Genomic DNA, 26,678 nt, shown 5'->3' with positions numbered 1-26,678 from the left:
GGAAAGAGTGAGTGCCAGTGTCTCTTCCCCTTCTTGTAGGATGCCAACTATATTGAATTGGAAGCTCCCTTTTGTCCCTTTTAACCTTGACTGCCTCCCTACAGGCCCCGACTCCAAACACCGTCTTACTGAGGTTCAGGCTTTGACATATTTTGTGGGGACACGCCTCAGTCCATGGCAAAGCCTGTAATCCACTCTACAGTATTCCAAGCTTTAAGATGAAGAGACAGGCTTAACTTCTCAAGGTCGTCCAGAGAGAGAACAGCAGGCCTTGCCTGGGCCCCATTGTTGTAGAAGCCCAGCCGGGAGGCATCCTGGGGTTGGTATCACCCAGTGGCTCCCTGTGTGAGTGTTAGTCACCTCTGGCTGCAACCACCATGGGATTGCTTCTTCTGCCAGCTGCTTCTCAGTGGGGACTGTGGTGGTGGTTGCATCCGTGTAGACATTTGTCAGAGCTCTTCATAAGGTACACCTATTTTTTTTTTTTTTTTTTTTTTTTTTTTTTTGAGATGGATTCTTGCTCTGTTGCCCAGGCTGGAGTGCAGTGGCATGATCTCAGCTCACTGCAACCTCCACCTCCTGGGTTCAAGCAATTCTCCTGTGTCGGCTGAGTAGCTGGGATGATAGACACCTGCCACCATGCCCGGCTAATTTTTGTATTTTTAGTAGAGATGGGGTTTCGCCATGTTGGCCAGGCTCTTCTCAAACGCCTGACCTCAGGTGATCCGCCCGCCTCAGCCTCCCACAGTGCTGGGATTACAGATGCGAGCAACCGCGCCCAGCCTGGGTGTGTGTTATTATATGTAGATTATACCCCAGCAAAGCTGATTAAAACCATGCTTTGGTGTGAGCATGCTTTGGGTGTGCATGAGGGTGGGGGTTGGCTTCTGAAAGGTGCTGACTGGGAACTCCCCTAGTGCATATGCTTGTCCTGTGGTGAGTTTTGGGTAAGAATTAGATGGGATGGTGCGCTGGTATGGATGTCTCTCTGAACATCCTCTTGCCTGGGATCCACACAGTGAGATCACCTGAAAGACTTGGATTTGGGGGCAGGCATGGCCTTGTGGCTCTGGCTGGTTGCAGCATCCCTAGAAGAGACTTACCAGGTGGTCAGGGCCTGGCTTCCCCAGGACAGGCTCTCACCCTGGGCAGCCCAGGCCCTACACTGGGAGTGAGGGTGCTGGGTGGTGGGGAGGGGTGCGTGCAGAGGCTTTCACTGTGCTCTTGAGTCGCTGGACAGAGGGCCCTTTTCTGAGAAAGTTTCCTCATTACACCTTGGGCGTAGGGTGGGGAGGGCAGAAAATACAAAACTGCCCCTCCCCTTACAGGCCACCGTAACTTTCTCTGCTGGATTGGATTCATAATTTTGAACTGTGTCATGAATGCATTTTGCTTTGTCTGGCAATCTTTTGCAAACCATGAAATAGTTGCTTTACATTAGGATGCGTGTGTAGAAAATGCAGGAATGACATTTCCCCTTCCCGCACCCCCTTCCCCCCGCCCCGCCTTCCCTGTCCCATGGGAGCATGCAAGGACCTGGGGCGAGGCTTGCTATTCTGTATACCGTGGGGGAGTATAGAAAATCATTACTAAACACAGCCTTTTTGACCCGTGAACTTATTCAGCTTCTGGTTTTCTTTTCAACCTTCCTAACAGTGTAGGTTCTGGTAGCCACGAACCTATTACACCTATTAAGACAACATCCCGCCAGTATGGGGGCTGGACATGGGGCCCATCCGGGGCTGCAGTTCTTTAGGACAACTTTGAGCAAGTTCAGCCCCAGCCGCTGCCTCCTAAAACTAAGAATATCGTACAGTGGATTTCAGATTTGCTGTGGACTGAATTGCGTCCTTCCCAAAATTCATATGTTCTCTTCAGACACAGAGAGAGCCTGATATTTGGAGGACGGCAGGAGGAAGTAAAACCACAGCCTGCGTGACAGCAAGTGGCACGAAGGAGGCGGTGTCTTTGGGGCTGGCAGCTCCCTGGGCGAGGAACAAGCGCTGGTCTGTGGAAGGTGCAGGAGCGTGGAGGCCGAGAGCCCATCTTGTGTGCCGGCCCAGAGGAGGCCCCCAGGAACCTGCAAACAGTGTTTCTTTGTGCTCTCGGATCCCAGGACAGACGACCTGAAACTGGTAGCTAGAAGTCTAGCCACCAGGCAGCAGTTTAAATCAAAATAATCACTTTAAGAAACGGTAGGGAACTTTGCTGGAGAACCATTTCCTCCACCCTGAAATAGGAAAACACATTCTGATTTATGCTGCTGGCTCAGGGCAGCTTGCTGAAACGTGTGCAGCTCCGCGTTTGATGGCCCCCTCCCTTCATCCGCCCCGCTGCAGGGATGAAAAAGCATTTAGAAGGAGAGTGTGGGGACGGCCGTTAGTGCCAGAGTGGCTGTTGAAAGGCCCCGCTCTGCAGGAAAGTGGCCTTCAGAGGCCAGAGGTGCAGACAGCAGGGCCGGCATCCCAGGGTTGGGAGCAGCTGGAACCAATGTGGGGGTTGGTTGTGTTTTGAATTGAGATTTTTAGAAAAACTCTGCCAAGCCCTTCTAACTAAACGAGGTCACTCATTCCTCAATGAGAAGCAGACATGGTCCAGCCAGGCGGGGCATGTGCAGACTCTGGAGCCGGGGGTGGTGCCACGGGGCTTGTCTCTACTGGGGCTCCTCCTGCTGCCCCTGTGTTCCCTGTGATTTATCACCTGCAGACATCGACATGCATGCGGAGGAACTGTAGTTGTGTGGAGTCTCTAGACATATAGTAATTTCTAAGTGCGAGCAAGCTAGTGGGATTGGGGGTCACAGCCCTTTAGGAGAAGTCCATTTTCTCCTTACAAAGCAGAGAATTGAAGTCAGCAGCCCCTACTCCCCACCTGCGCCTCTCATCTAGATCAGCATTTCTTAAAGGCACTGAGGGCTGTCAGGAAGGACGTATTATGTCGGAAATAAGAACATTTCTGGAAAAATAAGTCTAGGATACAACAGACTGTCTTGATGGGGCCATCTGAGTCTTTAACCTGGTCATGCACCTGACCTGCCCCACGGGGGAGCGTGGAGGGCCCTCTGGCTCAGACCCCACTGACTTTAGGGCTCCTGGACAGCACCTGCTTGTGTTCTGAGGCCCTCATTCCAGGGGAGCCATGAGAGGTTGAGGACATCCTCTAGTTCCTGTACGTGTCTTCAGGGTCTTTGCAGGGCCGCAGGCCACTGTGTTTTTTCTGTATTCCCTGGATAACTGGCTGCTCCCTCCAGCTCCAACATGCTCTTTCCCTCCTGCGCATGTAAACACATTCTCTGTGGGTTTTTTTTCTCTCATTTTTGCTTCTAGTTGTTCTCTTTTAAATTCATATCCTTTTAGCAAATAGTTTGTAAATGTAAAGAGGAAAAGAAACCCCAGAGTGCCCCATCTGAGGGGCTCACGTGCAAGGGTGTTTAGGCAGCTCTCAATTGGGAGCATCTGTGTTTTCACCTCTGCTCGAGAGAGGGGGAAGACACCTCTTGAGGGGATGCCCCCCTCACCACTGCTGCAGGAAAGCAAAGAGCTGCAGAGAATTAGGTGGCACCTGTGTGCCAGCTGGATGCAGAGCAGCACATCAGTGACAGGTGGCTGGAGGTGGCCTCTGGGCTCTCGGGAAAGGAGGAGGGGGGTGGCAGGAGCCCTGGCACCTCCTGCCTGCTGCCCTCTGATTCCAGAGGTGGAATTAAGATACTGGAATATTCAAAGTGCCTGTCTGGGCAAACCCAGCCCATTTCTCCTCATTGCCTCAGAGGCAGAGAAGCTGTGGACAATTGGAAGTGGGCTGGCTGTGCTGTTCTTTAGGTCACAGTTGGTGGAGAGTGCCCATGCCTGTGGCGTCCGATTGGCCTCTGGCATGAGACACTAACGCACGGGGTGAGGACACGGCCCCCAAGGGCCAGCATTTGGGTTCTTGTGCCTGTGCTATTGACTTGCATTCTTGGTGCCTCAGTTTCCTCAGCTGATAATCGGGATAATGATGGGGTCATTGTGAGGATTAAAGGAGATAACACATGCATGGCACCTGGCATACATGTGTTGGCTGTTCCTAATCTTGACAGCAGTAATAGTAATCAGGACAGTAGATGTTTGTGACACTTGGGGATCAGGAGTATGCTCGAGTAATTAGGGGATGAGGAAAATAACTCCTTCCTTCACCTGCTGTCCATTTCTTGAAGATACTTGCTTTTGACCATCTCTCCTCTTTATGCTTTTTCTCTCCTTTCTTTCCTTACTTCTCTTTCTCTCTCTTCTTTATTCTGCACTTGCTTTGCAGGCATGGGTCTGCACAGGGGCAGTATGGATCCAAGTCCTGTTACTGGAAGCCTGGCCTGGTGAGGCTGGTGGGTGGGGCTGGCAGGGTGAGTCCATCAGAGGTCCACATCCTTCCCCGCCCTGACTTCATTGCTTGGCCTTGGGTAAGGCATTCTGTCTTTTCTTTGGAAAATGCAGACAGAGATGACTCTCATGGTGGCTGCCAGGGCCATGCACAGAATGTGGAGGAAATGCATAGGCTGCTGGCAGTTGAGGTGCCATTAATATAAGAAACAGTCTAAGAAGAGGAAACCCAGTGGGGATGGCAGGGAGGTCTGGTGCAAACCCCACCAGGCTGGCATCCGAGGGCACTGAAGATTGAAGGAGTCCCCTGCCAAAGCTTGCTCCCAGGAGAGGTCATGCAGACGTGTGGAGGGCAGAGGGACGAGGGAGGCTGCTCAGGAGCCCACCGGGCTGTACTGCTGAGCACCAGCTTTTGCATGGAAATACACATTTACAGACTTTTTCACAGACCTCACCCATTTGCAAACCACCTGATGGTTAGATTTAAAACATTATCACCTTAAACCAATAAAAATAATCTTTTAAAATTAATACTTTGAAGAGCTTCCGGCCTTTGCCAGTCTGTGTCAGGGACTGCAGCTTTGGCTGTGACTTTAGGGGCAGTCTCATGGGCATTCAGGCAGAAGCCACATTCCGAGACCTAAGAGAATTTATGAATTGGTAGAGGAGCATTTAAAGTGTTGGTGTGGCAGCTTAGAAGAGGGACTGCTGTGAGTTTTAAAAAGCTCCTGGTCAAACTCTAGAAAATGTTGAGTTTTCCGTGGACTCATGTATTTATTAATGTGTTAATCACTTCCATCACTCTGGGAGTGAACACCCACAAAGTTCCAGGTCATCCGTGCAGATCCCTCTGTATTCTGTGCTTTGTTTTGCTTTGTAAAATGAGGATAAAAGGAGCATACGTGAGCTCAAGGGCGGTCAACTGATGGGCCAATGGCCGGGGAATGAGACTGGACCCACGTGATGCCTGTTTCAGTCTATGATTTGGCTGTGGGTGCACAAGCTCTGCTGTATTACATATAAGGAGCTGTTTCAGCTTGTCTTTGGTAGTTGGACACAGTCTTGCAAATCATGCCATTAATGCATACAGCCCATGACCACACATCTATAATGGTCTCACATGTATAGGATACAACAAATGCATGCAATGAAATGGCTAGAGAATGAAACAGAGCTGGAGCATGGGGTGTGGATCTCAGGTCCTTGCGTAGGAACAAGGGGCTGCCGCTATCTCATTTGGACACGCAGAGGGGATTTGGATGCTCCAGGCCTGCCTGGGAGACAGTTGAGAGAGTCACCCAGGCTGGCATTTGGTTCTGGCCATCACCGCCTCACCTGTCTTGGTTGTTGGTGTGTTTGTCTCTCCTCATTCCCTGTGCGCTGGGCAGATACTGACTGAGAAAGTATGGGCGGTGCTGTTGTAGGGCCAGGGAGCATGGCCAGCTCAGGAGGAAGGCCCCCAGCTGGGGATCCAGCCTCGCTGCATGTGGCCCCAGGCCTGAAAGAGGGGAGCTGGCATCAAAACTGGAAAGAAAACGTCAGACATCTCTCCTGTCTCAGTGATGTGGGTTTATTTTAATGAACAGAGGCCTCCTTGAAGCAATTGGGTATGGTGGGCCCGTCTGGAGGGTGCCTTTGGAAGTGTTTGTTCTTGTCTGGGGTCTGTCACTGGAAGGCTCTGGGTTTTCAGTGCACTGCAGAACTACAGGTTTCCTCATTCATAAGAAGAGAAGGTTAGAAAGAGAAAGAGAAACGGGTAACGTTATCCCGGGCCGTTGTGGCATTTTAATGTCACACGTGTGTTCCTGTGCAGCTGCTGGTCCTTGCTCTCCCGGGTCCCTCCGCTCTGATTCCTCTACTACCCACTCCCAATGTGCCTCCCAGGACAGCGGGGCCTCGGGAGTGCCCCTTAAGCAGCCAGGTACTCTCTGCTCTGCCAGATGAAGTGGGCATTTCCCGGGCAGGGTGAGGCTCTCCCTGAGAAATGCTGGGCAGTCCAGGGAACGGGGGCCAGTACAGTGTGGGGTGATACAGCGCTGTGGGCAACGCAGGTGGGGATGTTTCATCACCAGAGCCTTTTGTGAGTGATGGAAAGAAACACATTTATGAAAAGAAAGGGGTGCACTTTTGGTGGGGTGTCCCCAAGTAAAAGGTGGTTGAGAAGGGGAATTGTATTAAACAGATCACCCTCAGGAGTGTCGGTGGAGAAAACCGACTTCTGGCTCCCGAGGCTCCCCCGGGACACATCACCCAGTAGAGAGGCAGACACACATGTATGCACGCCACACTCACATACCACACACACCACACATACAGCACACACACACCACATACAACACACACACACCCACACCATATGCACAAACATGTATCCCCACATATATACCTCTCACACCACACACACAATATATACCACATACTTCCATAGACAAACTCAAAGAAACACACAAACACACTCCCTCACATTCATATACCAGACACACCACACTCATATACCTCCCCACAACATACACGCACCACACATACCCACAGCATGTGCACACATATCCTCACGCGTATACACCTCACATATACACACACACATAGACACCCCACACCACACATACACACACACCCCACAGACCCACACTCACAACACACACCACATACATACACACATACACCATATACACACAGACACACCCCTCCCACATTCATACACCACACATATACACACAGGCACACATGCCTGTACTTACACACACACACACACACACACACACACACACACACACACACACCCCCGATCTGACAGCACCAGGAATCAGGCCAGGATATTGGAGGAGGTGTTTTGGTAAACACGAAATACACCCAGCCTCCTGCTGCCCCCCAGAACCCCTTCATCTTGTTAATTGGTGAATTCTTTCCTAAGCTGCTGTCATCCCACGCTTGTGTTGCTATGTGCCTGCGCGTAGCCAGTGCGGAGGGCCTTGCATGTTGTGTAGTGTGTGCTTTTTGTGTCTTTATTTTAATGCCATTTTTGACTCGTTGCCCAGGATTCCGTTGTTAGATTTCCCTCTCTCCCAAACTGAAATTTATCTAATTCTCCCTTAGAGTCCACCGGGAACTTCTCTCTAGTTTCTGCTGAAGCAGACTTCTACTGTGTGCCGAAAGACGATTTTCTTGTTCTTTGTGCCCGTTTATTTAAAACTCCAGAATGGAGCACTGCTTTTATGAATGCTGGGTTTCACGATAACTCATAACATCTGTCATGGTTAATGCTTGGACACACAATGCCTTTACTCTTTTAAAAAGGGTCTAACGGGAGAGATCCTATTTTCCGACTGCAGCGGGGTCTCCTGCGCCGGCCGTGGTGCTCGGGGTCTCTATTCCCAAGGGGCCGAGACAGCCATGCTGGGGTGGCTGCCTGCGAGCCTGGTGAGGGACCCATTCCCCAGTGGTAACATCAGAAGCAGAGGGTTCTGAAGATGAGATCTTAACTCGGAATGAAACCCCGCAGTCCGATCTCAGGGTGTTTTCGTGTCTTGTCTATACAAAAGATAGCTTATGCCAAGGAGAGAAAAGATAGCGGCTGTGACCAGGCGTGGCATGACTGGTGAGTCAGGAATGTTTCAGGTGCCAGGAGGGGAGGGGCTGCAGGAGATGCAGAAGGGCGTCTCAGCCCTTCACTCAACACTGTGTGCGCACTTGGCCCTGGTCCCAGCTCTCGGGGCCTTCAGGTTAATCCATAGTCTGAGTGGCTCACTTGGTTCAGAAATGGCCTGGTGGTGCCTGGTTTAATTTGCTTTTATAAGCTAATAGGCTAAGTTGAGCATTTCAAAGGGGCGATTTTTCCTTCTTAAAGTTGCAGTGAACACATCTTTCAGGATCCAGAGGGAGAATTACACACATAAGGTATGCCCAGGTTAAGGAACACGGTAAAGATTTTAACTGCCTAATAAACTGTAAATCCCTAAATAAACTCCCAGACAAGGCAGTAAAAGCTAGACGTCAACATGCAAAAATGAAACTAGTTTTGTGAGGGTAGGGGGAGTATGGGTAATTTCTGTTTTTCCTAAAATACATATTTAAAGTGGCAGTTCGACAATGAAAAGAAAAGTATGGTTCGGTGATTTTTTTTCTTTTATGTGTTCCACTTAGAATGTGTGAACACGTGGCGCTGTAGCCTACATTCCTTATTCTTTTACTTCTACCTTATAGCTTAAAATTAAAAAACCTACAACAGTGATTAAAACTATATATTTTTTTCTACTTGCCAAATGTGTGTAGATCAATCTAAGAACACTGGACATTAAGAAATTTTCTTATGCACAAGTGGAATTTGTCTTCTCCTTTTAAAACACGTTAAACATCTTGAAAATGAGACAACTGGGACATGAAAAATTTATGAGATGGCTTTGAGAATAACTGCTGATCCTTTAATTGATTGGCCTTCTTCCCCAAGCCCCTTAAGATCGCTTACCTTTGGGTAGTGTTCATAAAGTGCAAAGAGCAGGGGGATTGTTTTAATATGGCAAGGCTTCTCCCCGCCTCCCTTCTTAAACAGCTAAGTTTCAGCCAGTCATATTTGGTGATTTTTTTATTGTTACAAGTTTTGGTTTTTTATAGTGGATGTGATGTGATCTCATGACATGGCTGTTTGTTTTAAGACCAGTAAGCAGGCTGGGCACAGTGGCTCACGCCTGTAATCCCAGCACTTTGGGAGGCTGAGGCGGGCCGATCATGAGGTCAGGAGATCAAGACCATCCTGGCTAACATGGTGAAACCCCGTCTGTACTAAAAATACAAAAAACTAGCTGGGCGTGGTGGCTGAGATCGCGCCACTGCACTCGCTTGGGCGACAGAGTGAGACTCCATCTCAAAAAACAACAACAACAACAAAAAAAAAAACAGTAAGCAATGCAGAACAGAAATTCCTAAGGAACCATTTATTACCATGTACACATCTCGAGTGAACTTTTAAAGTTGTTTTCCTTGAATACAGTTTTTTTAAAGAAAAATTATTTTATTTTCTTGTGATGATTTTCCAATCTAATAATCTTAAATTACTGTAATTTCTTTCCTCTAGAAAAACATGGTATATACCATTGACCAAAGCTGCAAACAAAAATCTGCAGCTAGTAAGTGGAATATAGCAGACAGACTGAATGGACAGGGCTTGTGTGATTTGAGGGGTTCCTGCCTGGCACCTGGCTGAGGCCACTGCCCAGGCGGCAGAGGTGGAGGAGCGAGCTGCCATTCATAACTGGGCAGCCTGGAAAAACCAAGGCTTCAAGAAGTTCCAGAACTCGCCCCAATGCAGGATCCTGTGAGCCGCAGCTCCTCCTGCCACCCTCAGAGCTGACATCAGCTGGCACAGCCCCCAGACCGGGGGTGGGGCAGGGGCAGGCAGTTAGCTGCGTTGTCGCACCAGAGGACAGAGGAGACCTGGGCTTTCTTAGCATTGCTGCTCCTGAACATCCATCAGCTGCAGACTGTTTTTTTTTTTTTTTGAGATGGAATCTCACTCTGTCTTCCAGGCTGGAGTGCAGTGGTGCGATCTTGGCTTACTGCAGTCTCTGCCTCCTGGGTTCAAGCGATTCTCCTGCCTCAGCCTCCCAAGTAGCTGGGACTACAGGCACGCACCACTACGACTGGCTAATTTTTGTATTTTTAGTAGAAAGGGGGTTTCACCATGTTGGCCAGGCTGGCTTCGAACTCCTGACCTCAAGTGATCTGCCCGCCTCAGCCTCCCAAAGTGCTGGGATTACAGGCGTGAACCATGATGCCTGGTCCAGACTGGATTAATAATTGGTACCTCTTCCCAGGACAAAGTGCCATACGACAATAAAAACAAATGAACTTCACCCACAAGCTACACTGTGGGTGAATCCCACCACCAGATGACAAAGGAAAGAAGGAGGCCACAGAGAAGCATGGTGGGATTCCATGTGCAAAGTTTTGTGTGTTTTTAAAATAGGTGAAACCAAACTCTGTTGTTTAGCGGGGGAATGCAGGAAGTAAAACCTCATTGCTTGCATGTGCCTTGGATTTTACCAAACACGGCTGGGGAAAGCTGTTTTCAAGCTATACAGAAAGGTAGGGAAGTGACGATCACAAAAGCGTTGTCCTAGCGCCCAGAAATTAAGCAATTACTATAGAAGTGAAAGGCGGACATGTGGAGGAGACATCTCGTGAGAGTGTTTTTGTGGTGTCTTCTTGAGAAAGGTTTTGTGGGAGACCTTCCCAGGCTGGCAGGTGGCTTGGCCTCCACCAGTCAGCCCCTGAGCTCCACAGGTGCACCCTTCCGCCTCCTGCAGCTGCAAGTAGTGGTAGCTTTTCCCTCCCACCCCTGCTGGTCTTCCTGGAGAGATTTAGTTCATTTTAATGATTTTACAGGTCTTATGGAAAGATGCTCACTGCTGTTGCTGCAGGCTCCTGAGTTTACTGCGATGAGTCGGTAGCCTTACTGGGAACATTTTCACTCATAGGAGATGGGGATCAGGGATGGGGCAGCAGGGCCGTGGAGAGAGTTCCAATCTACATTTAACTCTGAGCATGTCAGGGCAGCCCCCAGTGGCTCTGACAGGCTGTTTTTGCTCCTTCTGCTTTTCCAGTATATGGAATGAGGGCTGGGGGCAGTGTGTGTGCAGAGAAGAGAGCAATGGAGCCCATAAATCAGTGCAACCGTCATGGTGAAATTGTACATGTCTCCTTAAAGAAGCCACGGAAATGGAAGTGTTTTAAGACAGAGGAGCCAAGGCTATTTTGGGGTGGCCTAGCATGTTTGTTTCATGAGGCACATCTTTGCTTCCATTAGCAAATGGCACTGCTGTGAACTGGCTGGATTGGTGCAGGACCCTTGGAGGTGAGGGGGCAGCAGGTTGTGGAGAGAGGCTTCCAACAAGGGGGCAGCACATGAAGACTGCAGGGGCTGTGTCTGCAGGGGCTGTGTCTGCAGGGGTCTCTTTAGGCATCTTCAGCTCCATCACCATGTGTTGTAAGACATGCCTGGCCTCAGGCTCCTCATCCCTGGCCCACCCACCCACAGTGACGTTTGTGCCCAGAGACATAAGGCAGGGTGCATTCCTGTGCTGGACTGGAAAAGCAATCATTTCCTGGCAGAGTGCTTGGTCAAGTTGTAAAGTGGTCTCACTTGAACAGAGCCCATGCTATCGGGTTTTATTGGAGCTGTGTTTATCTTGAGCTCTGCAGGAGTCAAAAGCTCACTGGAACTTTTAGGTAAAACCTGTGTGTGTGCAGATGGGCCACACCTTCCTTGGTTTCAGGACAACAGTTTTGCTCGGCTTTAAAATCGCAAGAGCTCTCATTTGGGATCCATACCTTTGGAGAAGGTCCTGACAATTTGACTCCACTTAGGTTTTTCATGTTGGAATCTTAAGTGTTTTGATAGATGGGTCCCTTTCTCAGTGCTGTGTGTCTGCATGAATCTCGCTGACCTTTGCTTCTCATGGCTGTCACAGAGCAGCCCTGCTGACGACGGGACTGGTGGGGTATTTTGTCCCAGCTATTCCATGCATAAGGTGTAGAGAATATGTCTTCTGCCATGGCTAGAGTTAAATAAAGGAAAATTCATGCCAGGCTGAGTTCAGGATTGATGTTTGCTCTGTGTCTGCATTAAAAAATAAACCACAAACATGGTTGTCCTCCAGCAGGGCTGGTGTTGAGTTAGCAGCTGCCAAATGACTTGTGGATGGTGGGTTTGCACGCGGGGACGTGGTCCTGGGCATCTGTGGCACAGGGAAGGGAGGAGATGAAACACAGCTGGGGCTCTGGGCAAGTCCACCCAGCGATGCTCAGGAAAGCCAGGACCTGAGTGGGCTCCCGTAGCCCACAGTTTCTGGTCTTGTTTCCTGAGCCAGGCTGTGCCTTTTTCTCTGGGTAACAAGATAGATTTACTGACCTTTGCCATGGAGATCATGTACTTTGGAACCCGAGACCTGTTTTTACTTTCCATTTGTCAGCTGGAACAAAAGCCGGAATGAGCTTTACAGTCTGCAGGCCCAGGGGGACGGCCTACCCACTCTCCACGCAGTGTCCTCCCTGGAACCATCCCTGACCTCAGCCTGTGGGTGCTTGAGGCTGGGGGAGAGAACACAAAGAGAAATCCCATGGCTCGAATATGCCTCAGATTTCCCTGAACACTGGGCTGGGGAAAGCTGTTTTCAGACACAGTGAGGGGACGTCCCTCCCTCCATATCCCTTCAAGCTGAGTCTTGCAGCAGGACTCGGGTCTGCTCTTGGCTGCGTGGGGCAGAGGGGATGCTCCAGCAGATGTCCAGGACAGCTCCTTCTGCGTGTTGAGGCCCCAGGGAGCTCTCGGGGGCTGAGCAGAGCTGATCAGTTGGAGGCTGGCAGGAGTGCAGGCAGCTCGAGGCGGGCATGCAGGTCTGCAGGGTGCGCTGGCCATGGGCTGCTTCTCTTCGATAGGGGGTCATTGAGGGATGTGCATGGAAAGGAGTGCTCAGCTACTCCAGGGGCCTGGGGGGCACGGCTCTGGCGTGTGGCGGTGCTGGTGGTGGGACTGGGAGTTGTCTTTGTCTTGGAATCAGTTGAGGGTGACCTCAAGAGATTTGACTTGAGCGCCTGAAAGGACATGGCCGCCATTTGCTGGGAAAGGGACAGTAGCGGTTGGGGCAAAGCTGGGAGTCACGATACAGGCACAGTGCACTCGGCATGCCATTTGGACACCCAGCTGGGGGTGGCAGGATGAGGACCTGTTGCAGAAGTGCAGAGCAGGACGCTGGAGCCCAGCGTGGATGCGTCGGGAGCATCCGGCAGGCTGGATGGACAAGCAGCTGAGCAGCCTTGGGGGTCCTTCCTCCCTCCCAAGCATTTATGTCTGTGGGTTGGTGTCGTGGTGACGCATCTGCAGCCACCCTGATGCCATGCCTCTTGCCCACTCGGCAGAGAACACCTGGGTGTTTTGTCTCTCAGCCCACCTTCCCTGTCCCTCTTTGGGGGTGTTGCAGGGCTTAGGGGAGCCCACTCTGAGCCCCTCACCTGCTTTTGTGTACCACATCCTGACTTGCTGGTGGGCTCCTACCCAGGAGGGCTGTGCTGACCTGGGCAGGGCTCAGGTCTGGCACTGCAGCGTCTTCTCTTGGCATCTCTCTTCCTCCTTTCCCCTCCACTGAGGTTTGGGGCTATAGGAGGCCCCGATTTCTGCCAAGATGGACGTTGTATTTCTAGTTGCTGTTTCTCTCCATTGTTTTGGGGTGATTTGAGGAGTGTACCTGTCAGGGTCCAACTAGAGAAACAAAACTCGTAGGAGATATATATGAAAAGATTTGTCACAGGGAATCGACTTACTTGGTTGTTGGGTCTGACCAGGCGCATTTGAAATCCATGGGGCCGACCACAGGGAAGGGTGGCTGGAACTGTGGGCACCGCTGAGGCTACTGTCCCTGGTGGGAGTTTCCTCTTTCTCAGAAAAGCCGCTGCTTTGCTTTTGAGGCCTTCTACTCACTGAGCCAGGCCCACCTGGGTCATCAAAGATTATCTCCCTTACTTAAAGTCAGTCACATGACAGCCGACCTCAGTCATGTGACAGCATACCTGGAGAGCAGCACCTAGAGTTGCATTTGACTGATGGCTGGACCGTGGACCCTGGCCGTCATGGGTAGGGGACACAGCCTTTTTTTTTTTTTTTTTTTTTTTTTTTGCCATTGTGACCCCAGAAGTTGACAAAGACTCCTCCAAACTTCTCATTTAACATCTCATGGATGTTTGAAAACATAACATAATCTGTGATATTTCTTCTGTCGCTAGTCACTGTGTTTAAATTTTAAAGTAGTGAATTGTACCAGTGTTAATCCAAAGAAGAATTAAGAATTATTTTTCCCTCACACCTGGAATGGCAGTGAACATGGCTGGAGTTGATTGGCTGTGAGTGCCTTGGGCTCTATGAGAGATTCATTAGGGGATCTCCATTCCTCATCCTGCTCTACAGGGTCAGCCTTGTGGTGACTTTATGGTCAAGCCCACCAGTGGTCAGCTTGCAAGTCCAAACAGGACAGAACATGTGTGGCCCAGCCTGAAGGAGGCACCCGTTGGTCTGGGGCTCTCTGACTTGGACTTCTTTCTTAGGTCAGGGACATGATTGGCTTGCATTTGACCGCACACACAGCATCTTTTTACAGGGAAGGGAGATGGCACCATCTCCTCTGGCAGGGCAAGCTGAAGTCTGCAGTCCTTCCCTTGCTTTTTTATTTTTTTGAGACAGTTTTGCTCTTGTTGCCCAGGCTGGAGTGCAATGGTGTGATCTCAGCTCACTGCAAGCTCCGCCTCCTGGGTTCAAGCGATTCTCCTGCCTCAGCCTCCCAAGTAGCTGAGATTATAGGATTCTCCTGCCTCAGCCTCCCAAGTAGCTGAGATTACAGGCATGCGCCACCATGCCAGGCTAATTTTGTATTTTTAGTAGAGATAGAGTTTCACCACGTTGGTGAGATTGGTCTCAAACTCCTGACCTTATGTGATCCACCCACCTCGGCCTCCCAAAATGCTGGGATTACAGTTGAGAGCCACCACACCTGGCCTGTTCACTTGCTTTTTTGCAGGGGAATGGATGTTGTCCCCCCAGGTGCCTCTAAGGAAAAGCAGCACAGAATCCTCACCTCATTTCCACCAAACGCGGCTGGTCCCTTCCAAGAAGATATTTGATTCCTCTCAGCCCAAAACATGACTTCATGCTTGTGTTCTTTTTCTTAAAAATAATAACAAACTTACGTTACAAAAGTATTAATACAATTTTTTTTTTTTGTTTTTTTGAGATGGAGTTTCGCTCTTGTTGCCTAGGCTTGGAGTGCAGTGGTGCAATCTCGGCTCACCACAGCCTCCGCCTCCCTGGTTCAAGCAATTCGCCTGCCTCAGCCTCCCGAGTAGGTGGGATTACAGGCATGCACCACCACACCAGGCTAATTTTGTATTTTTAGTAGAGATGGGGTTTCTCCATGTTGGTCAGGCTGGTCTTGAACTCCTGACCTCAGGTGATCCGCCTGTCTCAGCCTCCCAAAGTGCTGGGGTTACAGGCGTGAGCCACCATACCCAGCCACAAATTTTTTAAGAAATTGAAATCATAGAAAGTGTGTACTGTCAATCCCTTCCCAGGTCTCAAAGGCCAAATGTAGCTCCTGGTAACAGTTTGATGTCTACCTTTTCAAACTTGAGTTTCTCTACACACACACACACACACACACACACACACACACACACACACACACGGACACAGTTATTTAGTTTTGGTAAAATGTATTCATACTAACTTTTTTTTCAAAATTTGTTCCCTCAATATAATAACATAAACTTCCATGAACGATGGATGCATAATTCTTTCTTATCTTTTTAATGGCTGCAAAATAAACTCGAAGCTCCATTTCCTCTGCAAATAAACAAGACCATTGCCCACTATACCCAGTTTGGGGAGGCTGGTGGGCTCCAGTCTACTTTCCTGCTTCTGCAGTTGGGTTTTGTGTTGTTAGTGCTGTGTGCTCTGAAACCTGCTTATGGGAGTTGTGTTTGTTATTGTACAGACATAGCTTTCTTTTCTTTTCTTGTTTTAGAGACAGAGTCTCACTCTGTTGCCCAGACTGGAGTGCAGTGGTGTGGTCATACCTCACTGCAGCATTGAACTCCTGGACTCAAGTGATCCTCCCACTTCAGCCTCTAGGGTAGCTTGGACTAACAGGTTCATACCACCATATCTGGCTAATTTTTAAATTTTTATCGTTTGTAGAGACAGGGTGTCACTGTGTTGCCCAGGCTGGTCTCGAACTCCTGGGCTCAGGCGATCCACCTGCCTTGCACAGCCAAATTGCTGGAATTACAGGCAAGAGCCACCACACCCAATCAGAAATAGTATAAATGACATAATCTATAAATTCAATGGGTGTAAAGAAAGGAAAAACTCAAGTTGACTGATTTGAAAATACAGGATGAGGAAAACTTTTAAAGATAATTTTTGTTGAATTAGATATGAGTCATAATGAAAATTGATTAGGGTTTTGTATTCAGATGCATAGGTGCATTTAGACACTTTAAGAAAACCAAACCAGGAAACAGATGAAATATGTGATTTGTGAAGAAATTAATGTGAACGGCAATGAGTAGATTTTTTACTCAAAGAAAGGGCTGGGCTGCACATCTGTTGATTGATTAATGATGGTTCATTTATTTGTATTACGTTAAAAATATTTATTGTGGGTGTGGATCATTATTTATAGTACCTAACTATCATTTTTAATGTTTCCATTAATGAACATTCATATGAATGAAGATTCGTATGGATCTTGGTTATATCCGTAGGAAGGCGTCAGCTGGTCCAGTTCCAGAATATGACTGTGCCTTCATTTCATTGCTCCCTGCTCTAGTTATTTACAACTTTCTTTCCCTTGGTTTCAGGTAACCTGGAAATATTCACAGATTACACCTGAGCTCACAGCCTTCTTTGAGATGTGTGCTTTTTTTTTTTTTTTTTTTTTTTTGAGACGGAGTCTCGCTGTGTCACCCAGGCTGGAGTGCAATGGCGTGATTTTGGCTCACTGCAACCTCCGCCTTCTGGGTTCAAGTGATTCTCCTGCTTCAGCCTCCCGAGCAGCTGGGATTACAGTTGCATGCCACCATGCCCAGCTAATTTTTGTGTGTGTGTGTTTTAGTAGAGACGGGGTTTCACCGTGTTGCCCAGGCTGGTCTCGAACTCCTGAGCTCAGGCAATTCATCTGCCTCAGTCTCCCAAAGTGCAAGGATTATAGGCGTGAGCCACCGTGCCCAGCCAACATGTCTGCATTTTATTACAAATGTGCCCATACACTTCTGAGAAGGGTAGAGCATGTTAATCTGTATGTCTCACTCTGGCTGCACTCCGCGGAAGCGACTGCCTGTGAAGTTTAATTGGCTTGGAGGTGGGACAGTGCCATGATGTCTAGTTAACATATATTTAAGTTATACCTTGAGGTCATTTGAAAATGGAATTCTCCCTAGTGCCCAGCTAGTGTTTATCCTCTGATGTTTCTAATCATTTAGCCATTTAAAATAGGGAGATGATGAGACACTTGGAAGGCTTTTAAGAAATTAATCTCCCACTTAGCTTTTTATAATGTTAATTAATGTCTATACCAAACTCAAAGCAAACATTAATGATGTAATAATCTAAGTAGTCTCTTTAATATCAAGGCTAATTCAAAAAGCCTTGTATGAGGTTGCTCAGCAAGTCTTGTCAGTGTATTAAGACAGGAAACAGAAACAAGGGGCGAGCTAATGGATTGTAGAAGATGCAATTACTATTTTTAAGAGAATATGTGCTTTATTTATTTATTTATTTGAGACAGGGTCTTGCTCTGTTACTCAGGCTGGAGTGCAGTGGTACAATCTTGGCTCAGGGCAGCCTCTTCCTCCCGGGTTCAAGTGATTCTCCCTCCTCAGCCTCCCGAGTACCTGGGATTACAGGCGTGCACTACCACGCCAAGCTAATTTTTGTATTTTTAGTGGAGATCGGGTTTTGCCATGTTGGCCAGGCTGGTCTCGAACTCCTGAACTCGAGTAATCCACCCACTTCGGCATCACAAAGTGCTGGGATTACAGGTGTGAGCCACCGCACCCTGCCGAGAATATGTACATTAAAGCCCAAGTAAATAGACTAAAAACTTTTAGAATTAATTTGTGAACTTACTAATGAATTTACATACAATATATTGGAGAAGATTTCCTATGTATCATCAATAATCAGAAGATGTACAGGGGAAACATTCCATTGCAAAAGCAAAATAGATAAGCCACACCACTGTACCATCAAAAATATGCAGGTGCTGTTGAAGTTACCTAAAAACTTCACCAAACAATAAGAAAGTATGTAAGAATAATGAAATTTTCAAAAGTACAATAATTTATTTATGCTCTGGAAGACTGAATGTTTTAAAGATGTCAGTTCTTCTGAAGGTAGCAAACATTTAAAATAACCCCAGTGGGACTTTTCAGGGATGCTGGACAAAAGGATCCTATGACTCATTTGGAGGAATAAAGAAATGGCAAATGCCAAAGAAAATTTTGAGTCTGATAAATGGTGAAAGGAGATCTTTACTGTGTTTTCAAATACATAAAAAAGCTGCAAAAACTACAACAACATGGCACTGCCCAAAATGATGGATACTGATAGGAGAACAGGCAAAGGAGACAAATACATTTCTTCAGAAGAAAACTACTATGGTTGTTATAACAATTTTAAAAGTCCTGAGAATCATTGATTCCAGAACTAGAAATTAAGCCTACCGATGGAACACGTTTTGGTTATCAAATTGAACAAAATTATATTCTTAGACACTGCTGATCGATCTGTACATTGGACCGATCTGTACATTGGACTGATCTGTACATTGGACCAGTCTCTTGAGGGAACGTTTTGGGCCATGCATCCTGAACCCACCCCCTGCTCCTTGGACCCAGTACTTTCACTTCTAGGAATCCGTCCTGAGTAGATGGGAAGAGAAATAAAGATTTACAGATGGAAGTGTATCATAGCTTTATTTGGTGCAGTTGACAATTAGAAATGAACCTAGTGTTCAGAAGCAGGAAAATACTTAAGTAGATTTCATAAGCTACATAGAGAAATGTTTATTTATTTATTTACGAGTTGGGGTTTTACTCTTGTTGCCCAGGCTGGAGTGCAATGGTGTGATCTCTGCTCACTGCAACCTCCGCCTTTTAAAAGTCACATTAAAAAAAAATGATATAGCAAAACCTTCAAAATGTAATATTCATCTATAATGATATGGGAAAATTTTTATAATATAATGTTGATTTAGTCAACTAAGCTAAGCTCACAGGAGATACTTGACTACATAGAAGAATTGGGTTCCTTATGGAGCATATAGTTAGGGGGCAATATAACAAAATATTATTAATATTATATTAAAAGTTAATGTAGCAGGAAGTTCAATTTATGAAATGAGTCTAATCGTGTAACAAAAAGTGAACTATAGAGTGCGTATATAGTTAGGGAAGTCAGAAGGCCATGCGTCAATGCTTTAATAATGGTCTTGTCTGGTAAACATATGGCAGATGATTTTTGTTCCTTCATTATTCTTTCTAGCACTTTCCCAATTTTCTGTAAAAGCTGACTTGCATTTTAATAATCAGAGCAAAGTTATAAAAGAACCTTCAGAGTCTCCCCTTCTCAAAATGTTACTGGATGCAGTACATACACATTTACAAAAGATCACATTCTTTTTTCTTTTTTCTTTTTTCTTTTTTTTTTTGAGACGGAGTCTCTCTCTGTTGCCCAGGCTGGAGTGCAGTGGCGCGATCTCAGCTCACTGCAAGCTCCGCCTCCCGGGTTCACGCCATTCTCGTGCCTCAGCCTCCCGAGTAGCTGGGACTACAGGCTCCCACCACCACGCCCGGCTAATTTCTTTTTGTATTTTTAGTAGAGACGGGGTTTCACTGTGTTAGCCAGGATGGTCTCGATCTCCTGACCTTGTGATCCGCCCGCCTCAGCCTCCCAAAGTGGTGGGATTACGGGTGTGAGGCACCACGCCCAGCCACATTTATTTAACCCAGTAACTAACCACTGATTTCTGCATAGTTATGCTGGTACAATGGCAGGATCATGTAATTAACCAGTATATTTCTTTTTGTTGTTGTTGTTTTTTAAGGAACACAAATAAAAATGTAAGGTTTACGTCAAGGTTAAAAACACGATGAAATAAGAAAGGGGGTCTGGAGTATGTGTGGAGATATACCTGGGTATAACAATGAAATGGCGTGATTGCTGGTAGAATGTTCACTATGCCGCACCATGTTCTATGCTCCATACATTCAGTCCTATGAATGGGAAGGGCTCATTTCCCCCATTCTGTAGATGAGAAAACTGAAGCCTGGTAGTCACGCTTCTTGGGAGTATCCTGGGTAGCCCTGGCCAAGGTGGGCTTTGAACCCAGGGAGCCTGGGCTGTTAACTACAAAACCACAGGATACGTACAACATAAGACATCGACATTCCTTGTCCAAATCGCCAGCAGGCAGGGGGGCGAAGCCACCCAGTGAGAGTTCCTAAGAGCCAGAAAGGAGGAGACCCACACTCCTGCTGGATCAAAGCTGATGTAAGTCAGCATTAAAGCTTTTCATTGGTTTATTCGCCGATGGAAGGACCTTCTCTTTCTTTCTCTTGCCTCAGAATCAGTGTTTGCCCAAGACAGCAATTTGTGGAAATGGAGAAAATCTGAGAATTCTTCTGTGGCTTTGCTAAATTGAGGCTTGTCCTCCACAGTCCATCCTACCCTCCCCCACTTTTTTTCCAGCAAAATAAGTGATAGTTCACTCACCTTCTAGGCATAAGAGTCATCCTTTCTCTGTGGTCAAACCAGTTCAGAGCTGACTCAAAAGTCCTGTGACTTGTTGAAATACAACATTGGATGTGTGCCCCCTGTTCTCTCCCGGCATCCCGAATACTGGCGTTGGGATGTTTCCTGACACCCACCTTCTCCCCCTGCCTGGGTCTCAGGCAGATGTTCCTGTCCAAGTCTTTCTGCATCGTCTGGGCAATGGCAGCTGTCCAGGTCTTCCAAGTGCAAGATCTCAGGATGGTTTCACAAGTACATTGCACTCTGTTTTATGTTCTCACCACAGGGGAATTAGAGGTGAATTACAGGTGAGTGGAGCCCACCGGGTGCCCCACAAGTTTGACACCTTCGCCCCAGGTGTCCAGGTGGGTGAATAGCCCATCACATGCCCCGCACTTCCAGGGAGAGTCTCTCCTAGCACCTGGGAGCATCTGCTCCCAAGTGGGGTGTGGCTCGAGCAAGCTTTAACTTTATTGCGTGTCCTCAGCCTTCCCTGATTACCGAAGGCTTTCTTACGTATCCTGGGAGGGGCGCCTTGCTTTAAGGGCTTCTGTGTGTTACAGACATGCTGCCAGCGGTGGAAACAGATGTGTTTTTCTTGTTGGCCCCCATGTCTGAAAGACACATGTTATTTGTCATTGGCTTACTTAAGGCCACAAAGAAACATTGACAGCCCAGCCCTGTGGCCTGTCTGACTTGGGAACAGGACCCAAGCCCAGATCGCCCCCCTTCCTTTTCATTTCCTTGGGGCCAGCGGGCCGGGGGTGCCCTGTGGGCAGCGCTGTTCACTAGGTTAAGGGGGCCCTGTTTTGTCAGAGAAGAAAATACAGCTGGCAAGAGGCCTTGCCCGTCACCCCCTCCTGCCAGGGCAGGCTGTTTCCTAATTGCAAACACATGGGCTGGTTCCAGAGCGTGGGGACGGATTCCATGTCCCGCCTGGGAGAGCTGTGTGTGTCCCACCCCGATGCCCTGTTTCTCATCAAGGAAATGGGGGTGTTGCATACCAGGGCCAGAGGACAGCTGCCTCGGGTGGGGGAGTTCCCGGGCACTCCCAGATGTGCCTGCTGGGAACATTTTTGGTGTGCGTTGAAACATTGGGATTTGGTTGCATTTCATCGTCCTCTGTTTCCTACTACATTTTTGGTGAGTGCTTTTGAAATTTTTCTCCCTTTCGCTTTTCTTCCTGTGTTTGCCACTATGAAGTAGACCTGTTGAATGCACTGTGTCCTGCAGAGGGGATGCCCTGCCCCCGGCGTGTGCACATTCCTACCTGTTAGTGAGGTTTAGTGCCCACTTCACTGGGAACATGAAGTGCCAGGGGATGCTGATGCTGCAGTCCCAAAAGGCCACACCCTGAGTGGAGAGGCCCCTCTAGCAGGAAGCACAGTGAGTTTGGCTGGGGGAACCCCACAGGCATGTAATCCAAGGGGCTTGGATGTAATGCCCAGCTTCATCATTTCCTTGTGGCTCTGAGCATTTGTTTACCTGCCTGAGGCCCATCCTTTATCTGTAAGATGCCGGTAATGGTGTCTCTCTGGGAAGGTGGCCTGGTCGTGATGATTACCTGGGAACTGTGAAGTAGAGAAAGTCTGGCAGATTCTATCGTCGGCACATGAAATTCTTATTTTCTCTGCCCATCGACTTAGACACACTGCTGTGAAGCACCAGCTCATTGTGAAAAGCCTGTTTTCTCTGAGCTCTGCTAGTGGAGGTAGAAGCAGGCTGACTCTGAGCACAGGCATGGAAGAACAGCAACAAACTGCAAGGATCTTAGAGGAACCGCTGGTGAATCCGGCAGAGATTGTGTATTTCAGAGAAATTTAGGAGATTGAGATGCCTTGGGCATTTGGAGCTCTGGGGGCACCTTCCCTGACGCCCCAGCCTAACTAAATGTAATCCTGTTTATTCATTGTCACCTTGGGAATGTGGGCCTCCTTATTCCTTCCCGTCTTTTCATTATGAGAGTTTTCAAATATGCACAAAAGTTGAAAGATAATACTGCAAACACACACATAAACTCTCCACCCAGATTCAGCGGTTGTTGATAGTATGCTGTTTCTTGCCCCCACTTCCTCTCTGCTCCTTAAATCCATATTTTATAAAAATTTGTTGCTGAGGCTGGGCACGGTGGCTCATGCCTGTAATCCCAGCACTTGGGGAGGCTGAGGCAGGTGGATCATGAGGTCAGGAGTTTGAAAAAAAAAAATCAGCTGGCGTGGTGGCATGCGCCGGCAATCCCAGCTACTTGGGAGGCTGAGGCAGGAGAATTGCTTGAACCTAGGAGGTGGAGGTTGCAGTGGGCCGAGATCATGTCACTCCAGCCTGGGCGAGAGAGCAAGATTCCGTCTTGAAAAAAAAAAAAAGTGTTGCTGAACAGTTTGAAAATAAGTTGTTGACATCATGACATGCCCCTGCCCCAAATATGTGAGCATCCATCTCCTCTAAGAAAAACTGTCATTCTCCATAATGGCAGCACCATTCTTACATGGAACAAAATTAACAGCAGTCCCATGATATCGTCTAATGGTTACTTGATATTCACCTTTCTCCAGTTCTCTTCAGAATGTGTTTAATAGCTTCTCTCTCTGCAAACCTGGATCTGCTTGTTATAACTGCTTAGACTCTTTAATCTAAAATAGCCCTTCCTTTTTGTTCTTACCTTTGTGACATTAACTGTTAGAAGAGGAAAAGCTAGTTATCTTCCAGAATGTCGCACCTTTGAATTAGTGTGACTGTTCCCTCCGGTGATGTTTCTTACTGTCTCCCTTACTGTCTTTCTCTGCCCTTGTGTTTGCTGTCAGACTGGATGTCTCTGCGTCTGTGGCCAGAAGACTTATTGGAGAAGCTGTGCACGTCTGGCTGCATCACACGTAGGGGTCAGTGGTCCCACTGTGTCAGAGATGCTAAATCCGACCACCTGGTGAAAGTGGTGGCTGCCCCCTTCTCCCACTCCTCTGAAAAGCCATGTTGTATTTCTGCCTGTCCTGAGTATGAAATCTGTAGGACGATACTTGGACATTCTGTATCTATCTTGTTCCCCAAACAGCCTTCTGCTCAGTGGTTTTCGCATCCAGTGAGTCTTGCCTGAATCAGGAATTTTATGGCAGGTTGCAAAATGACAATTTTCTAATTTTGCCATTTCTACTGAAAAGAAAAGCCTCCTCTGCTTTTGAGAATCATTGATGGCTGATGATATTTTTAAAAACTCAGTGTATTACAGAATCATTTTTGTTCTTCCTGATGCTCAAATTCAGTCTATGGGAGCCCTGGAAGCAGGTGCCTTTGTTCTTTTAGTTTTTGAGTCTTTCTTCCAATCTGGCACAGTGAGGTACCCCAGCTCACCTTGTATTATACATCCACATCGTCCAGAGTGAAGATGAACTGTTTTTCCAAGGAACTCTGATCCTTGGTGGTGGTGTGTAAACACCAATGCATGGATGCTGGTGTGCTCAGGGACCCTGAGTGGCCACTGCCTCCAGGCCCTTCAGTAACCAGCTCCAGGAGAAAACATGTTTTAAAAATCTTGACTTTGTATAGCTGGTTCCAGTTCAAATTTCATATTCAAATGTTGGCCTCTTTACATTTCCATCACTTCATGGATTTCTCTCATCCCGATTTGGGTCAACTGCCGTGTTTACAATTTGTTTTGAAGCGCCTTTTTTTCTAGCCTTTTCTTGGTTTTTGTTTAACTGTGAGGCTTTTTTGTATATATATATTTTAGCTGTCTTCCTTCCATCTTTCCTTTGCTTGTGTCCACCTTTCACTAAACATACATTCAGCATCAGTTTTATCCAAGAAATAGGAAGCCTTGAAAGACAAGGACCCTCGGTCCCAGTGCCTGGGAACTGCTGAGTAGATGCCTTGGACCTGCTGAGTAGATAGTATAGTGGGCATGATGAGTGCTGTGTAATGACGCCGGGGCTGGAGTCCTTGTCTAAGGCAGAGACGTGAGGATCTTCGCCAGGGCAGTAATATTTGTGTCCTGGGGTGAATGTCTGAGCCAAGATGATGTTTGAGGATAGCAGAAAGACTAAGGGTTGGCACTGACAATGGTTGACTCACATTTGGAAGGGCTGGAGAACGAGGACAGGGGGAGTAAGTGACTCACAGGTGAGCATGTGGGCCTTTCAGGGGTGCATGGCTGTGGAGGGGAGCTGTGGGGCAGGGGGTACTACTGTATGGGGCAGTCTGATCTGCAGGTGTTGCTGAGGGAGCAGGCTGCTGGGAAGACCAGGCAGCCAATGTGGAAAGGAGACCACCAGGAAGGGTACAGACAGCAGAATGGTGGTTCCATGGTGGAGGGGAGGTGCTTTTTAACTAAAGGAGTTGGGCAATAATAACGAAGCAATGCATGCCTATCACATACTGTATTTATTTGCACAGGCTGCTGTAATAAAATGCCACAGACTGGGTGGCTTAAACAACCGAAATTTGCTTTCTCCTAATTCTGGGGGCCAGAAGTCCAAGATCAAGGTGTGGGCAGGGTTGGTTCTCCTGAGCCTCTCCATGGATTGCAGATGCTGTCTTCTCCCTGTGTCCTCACATGGCTGTCCCTTTGTGCGTGTCTGTGTCCTCACTTCCCCTTCTTTTTTTTTTTTTTTGAGACGAAGTCTCATTCTGTTGCCCAGGCGGGAATGCAGTGGCATGATCTCAGCTCACTGCAACCTCTGCCTCCTGGGTTCAAGCAATTCTCCTGCCTCAGCTTCCTGAGTAGCTGGGACTGCAGGCATGTGCCACCATGCCTGGCTAATTTTTTATTTTTAGTAGAGACGGGGTTTCACCATGTTGTCCAGGCTGGTCTTGAACTCCTGACCTCAGGTGATCCACCCGCCTTGGCCTCCCAAAGCGCTGGGATTACAGTGAGTGAGCCACCACACCTGGCCTGACCTCCCCTTCTTATAAAGCCATGGGTCATAGTGGATTAGGGCCCATGTATAGAACTTCAGTTTAACTTTGCAAAGACCCTAAAGAATAAGGTCACATTCTGAGGGACTGGAGGTTTTAACTTCAATATGTGATTTTGGGGGACACAAGTCAACCCATAACACACCCATCGATAGGAAGCACTTGGCTATGTAATAACCCACTGACTGTGAAACAGCATTGCGCACGTGGGTGTGGAGGGGAGGGGAGGGAGGGAGCCAGCGTAGTGGTGGACTCTCCTGGTAGATTGCCTGCCGTGGCTCCTGACTGTAGATCTGGGGACCACACTGAAGCCACTGTGCATTTTCTCTGCTCAGGGCTGGGGAGGTGACTGCCTGGCTCTTTGTGAGTTCCCCAGGACACCCCAGATGAATGTGTTCAGGGCATTGAATTCTGCTTCCATTGGTCTCTGCTGGGGCCCTGGTGTCCATCTTGCTCAGATTCCCGGCTGACTTGTAGAGGGCATCCTGCCGTGGGAGCGTGGCTTTGCTCGGGTCTTGAGGATGAGACTTGGAGCCTCAGGAGAAACACGTCCATCTTCCCAGACATTGTTTTGTTTATTAAATTAAAATTTGAGGTGGGGGCAGTGCATTTTAAAAACCAAAACAAACATGGACATGTAATAAAGAATGCAAAATGTACGTTAATTTTTAAGTAGAAAGGAAAAAGATTACAAAGATAGCTGTAGTGTTGAAGGCAGCATTGTGAGAGACTCATCACCATCCCGACCTTCTTACTGCCCCTTCTTCTTCATATGACAGGTGTGCACACACAGACACACACGGGTACAGACACACAGGTACAGACACTGTCAAAGACAGACACATACACACTCAGAGGCACACACACAGACACATACTCCAAGACAGACACACATACAGAACACTAAACAGACACACACACACAAATACAGACATACACAGAGAACACACTTAGAGACACAATGACATTCAAAGACAGACAAACACAGGCACACACAGAACAAAGACACAGACATACACACAGAACACTGAGACACACACACAGAATATTGAATGACACACAGATACATACTCAAAAGACACACACAGAAC

General features: G+C 47.8%; 1 protein-coding gene across 8 annotated transcripts in view, besides 1 other annotated feature; it reads left to right on the top strand.

Moving 5' to 3' along the window:
- The window catches only part of ROR2 (receptor tyrosine kinase like orphan receptor 2), a 227,628-nt gene that overhangs the window by 103,845 nt on the left and 97,105 nt on the right, over window positions 1-26,678 (top strand). The window contains exon 1 of one of the 8 annotated variants that reach the window (XM_017014762.2): window positions 14,018-21,825. The exons of the other annotated variants lie outside the window; for them this stretch is intronic. Coding sequence (XP_016870251.1) covers window positions 21,738-21,825 — 88 coding nt within the window. The 5' untranslated portion in view covers window positions 14,018-21,737. Of the gene's footprint in view, window positions 1-14,017; window positions 21,826-26,678 lie in introns of those variants that run through there. 8 annotated transcript variants of the gene reach the window in all.
- Window positions 2,215-2,789: an enhancer, noted in NCBI's record as "H3K4me1 hESC enhancer chr9:94605877-94606451 (GRCh37/hg19 assembly coordinates)". NCBI's record gives its function as "activates a minimal SCP1, AML or CMV promoter by ChIP-STARR-seq in naive H9 embryonic stem cells {active_cell/tissue: H9 hESC(naive)}" and the evidence as "EXISTENCE:reporter gene assay evidence [ECO:0000049][PMID:30033119]".

Source organism: Homo sapiens, chromosome 9, assembly GCF_000001405.40.
Source record: "Homo sapiens chromosome 9, GRCh38.p14 Primary Assembly".
In the NCBI taxonomy this organism is placed as follows: Eukaryota; Metazoa; Chordata; class Mammalia; order Primates; family Hominidae; genus Homo; species Homo sapiens.
The sequence above is the reverse complement of the archived record's forward strand: the minus strand, read 5'-3'. Positions and strand labels throughout refer to the sequence as shown.